The following is a 12,891-nucleotide window of genomic DNA, read 5'->3' as shown; positions in this document are numbered from 1 at the left end:
AAGGTTTGACTAAAGGAAGATTTGCTTCCAAACTCACTTATGTGGTTTTTGGCAGGATTTTGTTCCTCAAAGGCTCTGGAATGAAGACTCTGGTTGCTTGCTAACTGTGAACGATACGGTGTCCTCAGTTCTTTGCCATGTAGGCCTCTCTAACATATCAACTTACTTCATCAAAGCCAATAAGAGAAAGAATTTGCTAACAAGACAGAAATCACAATTTTTGTAACCTAGTAACAGAAGTAACACCTTCAATATTGCATATTCTATCTGTTAGAAGCAAGTTACTCGAGGGGAAGGATTATACAATACTAGGAGGTAGAGATCATCACCCAGGACTAGCTTAGAATCTGTCTGACCCTGGGCTTAGGAGTATCAAATACACTTTGTGTTCCATTTCAAATCCTCTCAACTCACAGCCATCCAGCATTTTCTTCCACCCAGAGGCAGTTCAGGTATGAGGGATGAGTTCCACATTGGGCAGATGTGAGGGCTAACCTGATTAAAAAGCTCACTCTTCAAAGGAGCCAATATCTCCTGAGACAACTCCCTAGACATTGCTTTTATTGCCCCAAGATGCACCTTAAAAACGTAACCACTTTCAGGGAAGCACAAAGCATCGCGTCCCTGGCAGATATTATGATTTGTTTATGGTTCCTCCCAGTCCAGATGCAATCTACCAATCGGGGTCATTTTTATCATCAGCAATGCTGCCTAGAAATGGAGTTTGCATTCTACCCTTAGGAGGTTGCCAGAGTATCAGAGCTCCACAGTTAACCATAGGTTCACCATAAGCTAAATAATCATGCACAAGGGAATTGTTTGCTTAACTTTTACTCACCCACCCTCATGTGAAAGAATCTACAGATTCCTCTCCTCTTTAAAAAAGAGCTACTATGGCTACAGGGGTGTTCCAATGTCTTTGGAAAACCTGTAAGGAAAGATATGGGTGAAGGAAAGGAATTCCAAAACCTGCTTTATCTCTTCCCCTTGTTTTTCTTATATTTCCTGCTTGAAGTACAAGGCCAATGTGTTTTGGTGGATTTTGTTTTTGTAAATAGGGAGGCTACTGTGGCAGCAAGTCAGCCAAGTCATAGGGCTTCATCTGAGAGCCTCAGTCTGTCTAAAGTGTTTGGGACTATTGAAGCCGAAAATATAAATGTCACCCACTTACTATTATGTCCTGCAGATAAGAGGGTGAGACGGTCTTACCAGGGACCAGAAAATCACCTCTTAAGCCACACTAGACCCACCATGGGTGGCAATAAGGAACAGTTTTCCCTAACCCAGCTAGCTCACTGCCTCCCAGGTAGGCCTGCATGCTTAGGGCATAGGTCCCATGTAGGTGGGGGCCTCTCACCTATAACTGTTCCTCCCCAAGGCTCCTGAGCTCATAGGCCCATTCAATTCTCTGCTCCCTTCTATAGTGCACCCTCTTTTCCTTGCCAAGATTTTGACACTTGCCTCCATTCCATGTCCCCTAGGATAGAGCTGGAGAGCGTTTAGGGTCCATATGGATGAATGGCAGGATGAAGGTCAAGCATCTATTTACACAGCAATCAAGCCATTTCCCTGGTGAGAGTGCACGCCTTAGTAAAAATCATCTGCTCCATTATGCTAAAAGGGTCTCTGGCTCTTTTCTCCCCTCCTTTGAGTTACATTATAAAAAGATCTTCTTCTGGCCTCTTAGCTTGATGGGTAGCATGCCCTAGGGAAGGGGAAGGCAAGGAACTCATTCTGTACATCAATACTTCCCATTTTACAGAAGCCTGCCTTGTTTGTTCCAAGAAACTGAATGTCCATGGAAAAAAGTTCCCCCTATAAGCAGACCTCACCTTCTCTCAGGTATAGCAGGCAAACTCTCCATGCAAACTCGTGTTTCCATCTTTAGGGCTCTGCTCTGACCTCCTTATGGCTAAATCTCCCTTTGCAGCTTGTAGACTGGCACCAATCCAATGGAGAAAACTTGGTCCTTTTTTTCCCCTCCATGAGCCCAATAAGCTTCTTTAATGATTCTAGTGGTGCTTCGGTCAATGATTCTAGTGGTGCTTGAGAGAGCCAAGAACAGGCTCTGGGGTGAAACAGACAGCTGGCATCTGTGAGCCAAGAAGGGCTGTGCAGCAGTTCTCTAATGGATTTGTTGAAGAGAGGATATAAAATACGGGGCAAAGTCCGAGAAGGCAGAGAGGGAGAGCTGGGAAAAGACAGCAGATGTTGTAAAGATACTCTTTCAAGTTTCCTGTGCACTAGGAATCTGCAGATGTACGTTGGCAGGGCTACAGTCAGAGTGCAGCGGGAGGCTGGGGTTTACACATCTGGAAATCATTTGGTAGAGGGCAGAGTTCAAATGCTTTCTGCTTCAGCTGCCTCAGACAAACCTCGCCGTGCAGGCCGGGGCTGCGTGAGGGGCTGGCCGTTCACAAAGAAGTCCCTCTGGCCCCACTCTTGTGGAAGCCCTACCTAAGCTGGTGGGTTTTCCTCTGTGTTGGTTCAGTCACATGGAAAAGTTGAAAGCATTATAAAAAGAGAGAACAGGACTGGGGAAGGAGGGAAGCAAAGAAGAGAATGCATCACAACTGAGAGAAGCCTGGCTGGAAATCAAGAAACAAAATGTACTTGGACCAAATCCAGTGCATGAGTTCACTTGAGAGCAAAGAACACCATTCAGGAGAGGGGAAAAAAAAAAAAAAAAAGCCTTTTCTGTGCATAGTAACACCCAGGGATCATGCTCACACCACATTTACTTTTCTCAGAAATCCCTGTACATTTTGCCTTCATTTATTTCAAGAATGCGGAGGGCTCTCTTGATCCCGAGGGAATTACTTACTTCCTTTTGAAGGATTTATGGGGTTCTGCTGAGAGAAAGAGCAGGTCTCCCAGGGCCAGGTCATCACCCCACTGACCTACAGCCTCCTGCTGTCAAATTGAGACGTGGTCCTCCCTCCCAGAAGGGAGCCAGGTCAAGCCAGGGGCTTTGCTCCCCTCAGAGGAGAAGCACATCCTCAGGGTGAAATTGGGTCCTGGTTCAAAGTTCCTGCCGTGCTCAACTGTGCAGATGATATGGCTTGCAGCTGCTCACAGGCTTAGCGTGGGGGCCATGTACTCATGTTTGGCAAAGTGACCTTTTGAGGGGTGGTAATGAGTGAAAGGTGCGGGGCATACCCACGTTGGTTAATCTGATCCAGGACCTCAGAAGGATCAGAGTCCACCTAAAAGGATGAGTAACAAAATACAACAAAAAATATAGTAAATGCCAAATATGAGATAAAACAAGTTTAGACAGAGCTCCTCATAATCCTCATGCCCATAGCCTGCTTATCTTTCCATATCCTCTAACTTGAGGCATGTGTCTGCTATCCCCACAGTTGCCCAAGCCAGAAAAGACCAGGTCTCCCCCTTTATCACCATGCATATCCAACTTGGCCACTGGGCCCTGTTGATGATACACCCTTAGCATCTCTTGAATGTTTTGCCTCCACCCCAATGCCACCACCCTCAATAGCTCTGGCCTGACCACCGCAGCTGCCTGTCAGTTTGTCTCCCTGATGCCAATCTTGTCCATTCTCTGAGTTATCTTTCTAAACCTAAATCTGAGCGTGCCTCTACCCTAAATGGTCCAATAGCTCTCCATGGCTTTCAGGATAAAACTCAGCCTCCTGAGCATGACATGCAACATCTTCATGATCTGGTTTTTTGTCCACCTTCCAAACCTCATCTTCAGGGATATGCTGGTAAATGTTTAACAAGCATACCTGCAGACATACCACTGCGTTATCTTATACGACTCACACTCCCCCTCAAGTGACAATGAATTTCTTTCAAATTCCTGGTCATTCCATAATTTCTCCCTCATCCGGGCCTTTGCACATATTTCTCTCTCAGCCCAAAATGACCTTCGTCCTGGCTCCCCCACATCTAGTCATCCTTCAAGTTCAAGCTTATGCAAGCATAGTGAACACCAGTGGCTACCAATATGCTACTACATAATTGTGTGCTGGTGGGGCCTGCTGCACTAGGTGATTCTTGAGAACAAAGACCATGCTTTATCCTTGTGTCCATACTGCCTTACACCCTTCCTGGAACATAGTAGATTTTCAGTAACATCTGAATTAAAGAATAAAAACAGTGCTTTATTTATTTATTTATTTATTTATTTATTTATTTATTTTGAGACAGGATCGCACTCTGTCGCCCAGGCTGGAGTGCAGTGGTGTGATCATGTCACACTGCAACCTCAACCTCCTGGGCTCAGGTGATCTTCCCATCTCAACCTCCCAAGTAGTTGAAACCACAGGCATACATACCATGCTTGGCTGAATTTTTATTTTTTGTAGAGACAGGTTCTCCCTATGTTGCCCAAGCTGGTCTCAAACTCCTGGAGTCAAGAGATCCTCCCACCTCAGCCTCCCAAAGTGCTGGGATTATAGACATGAGCCACTGCACCTGGCTCCAGTGCTCATTTTTAATTTTCTAGTTACACTCTACTTTCTTGTAAAAAGATTCAAGGTTGTAAGTGCTGCAGGCCCTGCACTGAGACGAAAACCAAGCTCTGTGAAGGACAGAGTAGTCAAAGAGTACTTCATGGAGAAGAGTTGCCAGATACAGCAAATTACAATATAAGATGCCTAGTTAAATTTCAATTTCAGATAAGCAACAAATGCTTTCTTAGTACATGTCCCATGCAATGTTTAAGAAATACCTATAGTAAAAAAAAAAAAAAGTATTTGTTTATCTGAAATTCACATGTCACTGAGTGTTCTGTACTTTATCTAGCAACCCTATCTTTGAGAAGGCTGTATTTGAGCAAGATCTTGAAAGATGAGTCAAATTTAGAGAGGACAGAGAGAAGGGAAATTTATTCTCCTAACTGGGGACCAGCAGGAGGGGTGATAAGCAAAGCGCACAGAAAATGGAAACCTGCCAGGCATTTTCAGATTGGTCTAATTAGGGCATGAGGTTTATGCCCACAGAGGATGGGAGGCCAAACAGAAGGAACAGAAGATTGAAATTGACATTGAGGTGACCAGAGAGGTGGAGACTATCACCATTCACCACATGTGTGTTCAGAGTTTGTAAGTCCTGAACTGGCCCACAGGCAATTAGAAGAAAGGACAGGAAAATGAGCAGATTTCTAATTAGGTTGGTGGGGAGGTGTGGTAGGGGATGTAAAGAATCCTCCAAGATTTAAGATTCGAAAGGAAAAGCCAGATGGAAAGGGTCCAGCAGAGGAGGATGAGCTTCATTTAGACAAGTTGAATTTGATATGAAAAGTAGGACAACCAAGGAGAAATGCACAGCTGAGCTGGAGTATCAGAGGCTGGGCATGACAATCATTGTGAAATGTCCACACATATGTGACTGTGATGGTCTGCAGGGTCTCTCTGTCACTTACATGATCCAAATCCATGAAGGAGGAAGAAGATTATCCTCAAAAATATCCCAGGCCATGTAATAGAACACTGGCATGCCGATGTGTTCAACAACTCCCTACTCCAGAGCTTCTTAACAATCCACCAGGCCATTGGGGAGATGTCTCATTCTTAGGCTTCCTGAAGGAATGCTTGATGCAGTTCACTATGAGACAGTCATAAGGTGGAACACAGCATTTTTTCAGTAATCACCTAAATACATTGTAAAGACTACCTTTAATATAGTTCAAATCTGAGCCTGAATGGAGCAAGATAGTTATCTACATGAGACTGGTGAAGGCAAAGTTTGTGGAAATAATAAACATGAAAGTGCTTTGAAAATTATGTGTTATGAAAATCTCATATTATTCACCCAAACTGAATATAACTTGAAAATAATCACCAAGACATCAAAAATTGTGTCTGTGTACTGCTAAACACCTGAATATTTTAAGACAATCAAAGTCAACCCTCCCTACACTTTCTAAGCCCTTCTTGCCTTTATTTTTCTTAGTGCTTATCACCATTTATTATACTATCTAGGCAATAACTTATTAATTATGCATTTCCCCTCACCACCTACAAGAATGTCTGAGACTTGAAAGCAAGAATCTATGGGGTTTTTCTTCATGGCTTTATCTCTCAATGCCTTAGATGGTGCTTATTTCCAATTGAATAAATTAACTTTAGTTTTTAAAGAGTTGGCTGAGACTGCATATCTTGGTAACTAGGAAGCACTCTGAAAGACAAACATGTAAGAAATCTCAGAATCACAACATCCATTGTCATATAACCAGGCATCAAACTGTCATGAAGGCTTATCAGGAGACACAGTCCATGTGAGCTATCTGATTGTCCTCACAGTAAGAATTGTCCTCACATTTGGGGGCCAGTGCCTAAGTCATTACTGGTAAAGGAACTATGAGCATTTCAGTTGATCCATGAGAACTCATGCCCCTCCCTTAGGATGGACCTTGCTAAGCTTGGCTGTTTGATATTTCTCTTACACCTTAGGAAGCCTCAGAGCATTAACCCAACCCTGCTGGGGACTGACTTGACAAAAGCACTCTACAGACTGGGTTTTCCTCATCCTTCTGGGACATCGTACTGGTTTCAAATGCCAAAGAGCCACATTTGAATTCATATTCCAGAGCTCAGCATGTCTATATTTGATCCTTCGGTTATTTTTGTACAGTCCATTCCCTTGTTTCTGTAGGAATCCTAACTACCTTAGAGTATTGACTGGATACTCCTTCACATGGCGTTCTGCAGAGCAAGTAGAAAAGAAAGGATTCCTGCTCAGCTTCCCAGCATGAACAGACATCCCTAATGTAGACAAACACACAAAAAATACACTGCAGCTGAAGTTCAGATGAGTCTTGAAAGGCATCCAGCTGCTCTCTTAAACCCAGCTGGTATGTGTCCTGGTTCAATAATGGAAAAGACTGGCAAAGCTTGGAGAATCAGTGCTAAAGTCCTAAAGGCTGTCATGTCTGAGCATGCATGGCCTCCCTGGGAGGCAGGAGGCTGGAGGGAAAAAGACTGAGTAACAGGATATTAGGGAAGATACAGGGGTCCTAGCTAAGAAGGACCCTACTTAGTAGTTGACTTCTTCCTGGCGTCTGGTTTCAAGGAGACTGCTGCAAATTAACAGTGACAGGAAAGCCACAAGGCTTACAGGGGGAAAAACTGGAGTATCTGAAGAAGTCACAGATGGTGACACCTGAACTCCCAGCAGGTCATTGCAACAGGAAATCCCATGCCCATCCTCTCACCATTCCTTCCATCTACCATTCTGCCTCCCTCTCATCTCCTGTGTGTCAATCACCTGGCCACCCATGAAGAGACTGGAAAAGAAGCTCCCCTGCATTCTCCTAACTCAAGCCCTCCTCATCCTCTGTACGTCCATCCAGCTCCGCAGAGCCTAACAACTCTTTCTCATTTCCATTTTTGTCATCTGTCGATTCATCACAGTATTCCTTTGGCCTCCTACTTACCACCAGATGTGAAGCTGGTGGGTATGGGTTTATAGACACTATTACTACCAGACCCTCTTCCCTTCATTGTCTGGAAGCCTGTCTCCATTTAAGCTATAATCCCTTTTGCCATTTTTGACCTAGTTCCCATTATTTTCTATTTTTCCATATTAACTCAAATAAGCCACTTCTCAGCCTGTATATATTTCACTGGCTCCAGTTCTTCTCTTGCAACTAAAATGAATGCCTGTTGGAAAAAAAAAAAAAAATCTACAGGCCATTCCCAGACTCACCCACTTTCTTAGCTTAAAGGACTAGAGGGGAAGCTCCTTTAAAAATTCTGGTGGCATTCCTTGGCTAGACAAAGAGGTTCTATAACTCATGATCACCCTGCTCCCTGCAACCTTCAGATGGGAGAATGCATTTATGCACATGAAAAATATGAAAAAAGTGTGGATAAAGCATTCCTCAATAACAGTCAAGTCTATCTATTACTGCATGAAAAACTGATAATAGGAGATTAATGTGTTTCACAGATAAGGTGAAGAAAGAAGAAATTGAGCAAGAGAAGAAAAGCAGAGTAAGGAGCCAAGAGTTTAATGGCAAAAGGACATTCATCTGAGGCATAATTAATCCTCCCTTCTTACCTTCAGCCCCAGAGAACTAGAAGTATAACTAAACAAAAGCTTAAGAGGCACCACTTTGGAAAATATTATTTCTTGAAACATGAATGGCGTGACCATGGGTCTGAACAAAGACACCTTTGGGGATAAATAACCCACAGACTGGTTCCTGCCCCTTTCAGGGCATATTTCAGAAGGAATCACATGCACTGTGTTTGTATCACAAACCCTTTGAAGCAAATCAAATTTTTAAATTCTCTCGCTGTTGCTTTAATATGCTATATCTTGCTTATCCATCATGTAGGAAAACATTAAAACTACTTAAAAGTGTTTACAGATGCTATTCCTAGCCTATTTTTCTCCAAAATCAACTAGTTTCCCAGCTGATCAACTGAAACTGTAGAGGATGTGGCACTCTCAGGAATTATACCCTGAAACAGTAATTTCAGGGTAGTTTTATCATCCTCCCAAAGTGATCATTGCATTGCCCTGGCTGTTGGCAACCTGCATGGTGACACTCTTTGACACAGGCGAGAAATAAGAAATATAGTCACGAGTCACTTCATGACAGGGATATGTTCTGAGAAATGCATTGTTACGCAATTTTGTTGTTGTGCAAACATCGTGGAGTATACTTATGCAAACCTAGATGGTATATAGCCTACTACACACCTAGGCTATATGGTACAGCCTATTGCTCCTAGACTGAAAACCCGCACAGCATGTTACTGTACTAAATAGTGTAAGGAAATAGTAACACAATGGTAAGTATTTGTGTGATATAAATTTTTCAGCTCCTTTATAATCTTATGTATAAGCATATGATACACCTATGTATAAGCATTTTGTCATTGATCAAAATGTCATTATGTTGTGTACAACTGCATATACGTTTTATAGTTGAAAGCTTCAGGTTATGTTAGTTAACTCTCCTGGTGTCAAGATATACACAGGTCCACCTGAATCCAGAGCCCACACTTTCAAATAGGTTGATAATAGAAATTTTTTTAATTAGCCACATTAAAAAGGAGAACAAAAACAACTATAGCTGACCCTTGAACAACATGGTTTGAACTGCATGGGCCCACTTACAAGTGGATTGTCTTTCCCCTCTGCCACTCCAGAGACAGCACGCCCAAAACCCTTCCCTTCTTCCTCCTCCTGAGCCCACTCAACAAGATGATGATGATTAAGACCTCTATGATGGCCCACTTTCACTCAGTGAATGGTAAATATATTTTCTCTTCCTTATGATTTTCTTAACATTTTCTTTTCCCTAGCTTACTTTAAGAATGTAGTATATAATACATATAGCATACAAAATATGTGTTAATCAGTTCTTTATGCTATCAGTCAGGCTTCTAGTCAACAGTAGACTATTCATAGCTAAATTTGGAGGGAATCAAAAGTTATACTAGGATTTTCAACTGTGGTTGGGGTCAGCTCTCTTACCCTCTGTGTTGTTCAAGGTCAGCTGTATATCCATATTCGCTCAGGGATAACTTTACAAAATCTCTTCTACAAACATACACTCTACATATATTCACAATTTAACAAAAAAGGAGGATGGAGATCATGCTTCATGTACTGTTGTATAAGCTTTGTATTTTCATTTGAAATACCTTGTGGAGGTCTTTCTACATCAATAAATACATTTCTACCACATCATATTTAATACTGGTTTCCATGGTTATCCCTGTACCATAATGTATGTAAGCAATTCTTGGACATCATGGGTCTTATACAGAGTACTGTGATAAATATTCTAACAGGTACATTCTTACACACACTTTTATCTCTTTAGGATAAATTCCTAGAAACGAAATGTACATTTTTCACATATTGCCAAATTCCCTGGCGAAAGTATATGAATGTTCATTCCCACAGCAATGTATTAAACCCCCCTTTTCTGCACACAATTATCAGCATTGGATATAGGCATTTTATCGTCTTTGCCAATTTGAATGGGGAAATAATAAGATCTCACCGACGCTTTATTTGTCTTCCTTAATTATTACTGGGTGAAACATTTTTCCTATGTTCTTTGGGATTAGTATCACGCCTTTTGTGAAATCCCTACTCATGTCAATAGTTTATTTTTCTTTCAGGGCTTGTTGTATAGTAATTGCTTGCCAAAATAATGTGTCCAGTATATTTCCCCAGATTATTTCATTTTCTTTTAATTTTTAATTGTTTTAATTGCAGATAACTTAAATTTTTGTCTTTCTTCTTTGATTTCTATTGTTGATATCTTTAAAAAGAATCTCTACTTCAAAGTTATAAAAATACTCACCTAAATTTTCTTCTTGTACTTCCAAACTATTTTTTAAATTGAAATGTTTAAATTATGCAGCATTTTTTGATGTAAGATGTAATTTATTAAGCCAAATGTCACAACAATATTTACTATACAATCTGTCAATCCATAACTCATTTAAAATTAGATCTGTATTTTATACTAAAACATTATATATAGTTCTGTTTATATCTAGAATTACTGCTCCATTTCATAGACTTTTGTCCTGATTCCTATGCCACTATTATCTATTTTCATTATTATAGCTTTATAAGCCATATTAATGTCTCAGATGGCAGTTTTCTCTTCATTATTACCAACTGTTTATTCATTTAAATGTATTTAAAAATTATTCTGTTTTCAAAAAAAATTTTTTATGGTTAGAATTTTGTTACACTATTGGTATAATTTCGAAAGAACTGATAACCTTATAATTTGAGTAAATTGTTCCTTCCAGGAAAAGCAAAGTGTGTCTACATATTCGGGTTTTCTTTGTCTTCTCTCAATAATGCATTCGCTTTCTTCATGTCTGCTTTTATGTGAATGGAACCTCCTCCCTGTTATATTTTACAACTGCTTATTGTGAAACTTAGACTTAAACAACTGGAATCCAACTAGTCTTCATTTTTACAAGGTTGATGCCCAGCGATACTACTTTGAAAAGTCCCCCATTTCCTGTGCAACAAAACTTAGCATATAGAGGCACCACCTAGTCCTGATGAGTCTGTCTCCAGGATTCCTTTCTAAATAGTCCACTTTTCCCCATCTCCATTGCCACCACCCTGGTGGAGGCACCAGCGACTTTTGTCTGTCTTGTTAGTATTATAACTACCTAACTGGTCCTCTCAATTCCACACTTCCCCCTTTAACCCATTCTTTGGATTTCAGAAATGAACAAGTTATATCAGTCCTCTGTTTAGCACCCTCCAGGTGCTTCCTGTAACACATTAAAAGTCCAAACATGTTCCTCTGGCCAGTGAGGCTATACATGATGTGAGCACCACATACCTCTCCAGCCACATTTCCTGCCTGCTCTCCCCTTGCTCAGCGTGCTTCACCACCCTTTCCTTCTTTCAGTTGCCCATGTACACATTTCCTCCTTAGGGTCTTTTTATACAAGCTGTGCCCTCTACCTGGAAGCTCTTCTCCCTGATAGCTGCTCCTTCTGATCAAATTCGCCATGCCACCTGTTCAACAAGGTGCTCCCTGACCATTCAATCTAGAGGAAATCTCATTGTTTTATTTTCATAAGAACGTATATTATAAATTTTATTTATTTGTGTATTGTGTATCGTCTCCCCTCAACCTGCCCCTCATCACCACCTTGAAGGCAAGGATTTAGAAAAGTCAGAATTTCTATCTTGAATACTGTTGAACTGCTGAGACTAGAAGAGTAACTGGCACATAGTAGGTGCTCAAGAAAAAATCTGTGGAATAAATGGATGAATGAACAAATCCAGATCTTCTGACTCGTGGTGGGCATTGTTTGATGGAAGAAGAACACATGTTACAACAGGCTGACCCATATTTGCATCTCAGCCTCAGTCCTTATTTAACTTGAACCTATGGGGAAAATACTCAAAGTCTTAGAATATTGCTTTCTTTAGTCATAAAATGATGTGATTACTAACCGTCTAATAGGATTGGTTTGAGAATTGGCTTTATACTATAAAGCGCTAGTATCATTCCTAGCACACAGTAGATACTCATGATACATTAGCTTTTTACCCATTTCTGAGCTATTTTCACTCACCAGCTAGCATCTTTACCTATGTTGTCTTTTACAGCGGGGAGCTGTGGAATTTCATGCCCAGAAAGCATTATTATTAGATTAAATGAAACTTCCAAATTAAGTGGAAAACAGGAAGTACACTTAATTTGGGATAGGTCTCTGTTGCAATTTGTTTTCTGAAATTCAGAGAGAATAGACATTTCAGCAATTTATTTCCTACCCTATACTGGAACATAGAGTCCAAGACAAGGACAGTCAAATGAGTCAACAAATAACTGTCATTTTGCTACACATCAACACAATTTGGGTCTGTAATCTTAATACCACATTAGGGGAAAATACTCATTGCTCAGATGTCACATAGAACACTGGAATTGTAAAAGGGGGCATTAAACATAATCCCCAGAGGAGGATCCAAAATTCAATAAATCGATGATTATGGTTTCCTAGAGCAATTTCATTGAATTTCCATGAACCTCCAACATCAGGGGAGTACATAAATTATACAAGACTATAAAGTCTGACACAGTAAAAGTGGTTCATTCTGAAAAAGGAAATGAATTCTTTGACCTTGACTATCAAAACACCGCCATTGCTTATTCTATACTTTCCTTTGGAGTTTACAATTGAGAAGCCTGTTCATTTTGTTTTGATTCATTAATACTTTTGGGGTTTGAGCTTATGGACACAATTTTCCTAAATCTTAGGAAGGGTAGGCTGATCAACAAAACAGCCAACAATATTGTTTGTGGCACCCTCCAAATTGTCAGTGGCCTTAGTTAGGATCAGGGCTCACTGTACTTGGAAAACGGTGGGCACAAAATTACCAGTCACCTCAGATAATAAAGAAGTTGTACGT

General features: G+C 40.9%; 1 long non-coding RNA gene across 1 annotated transcript; it reads right to left on the bottom strand.

Annotated features, from left to right (window-relative positions):
* Positions 1–815: 815 nt before the first annotated feature.
* On the bottom strand, positions 816–2,976 carry TILRLS (TCL1A interacting lncRNA, retroperitoneal liposarcoma associated). Its single transcript, NR_186086.1, has 3 exons — positions 2,825–2,976; positions 1,462–1,705; positions 816–928 (listed from the first exon to the last, which is right to left on the bottom strand). It is a non-coding gene; the product is annotated as a TCL1A interacting lncRNA, retroperitoneal liposarcoma associated (long non-coding RNA).
* Between the last annotated feature and the right edge of the window lie 9,915 nt (positions 2,977–12,891).

The sequence above is a fragment of the Homo sapiens genome, chromosome 5 (assembly GCF_000001405.40).
Source record: "Homo sapiens chromosome 5, GRCh38.p14 Primary Assembly".
Lineage (NCBI taxonomy): Eukaryota > Metazoa > Chordata > Mammalia > Primates > Hominidae > Homo > Homo sapiens.
This window is presented reverse-complemented; position numbering and strand designations above follow the sequence as displayed.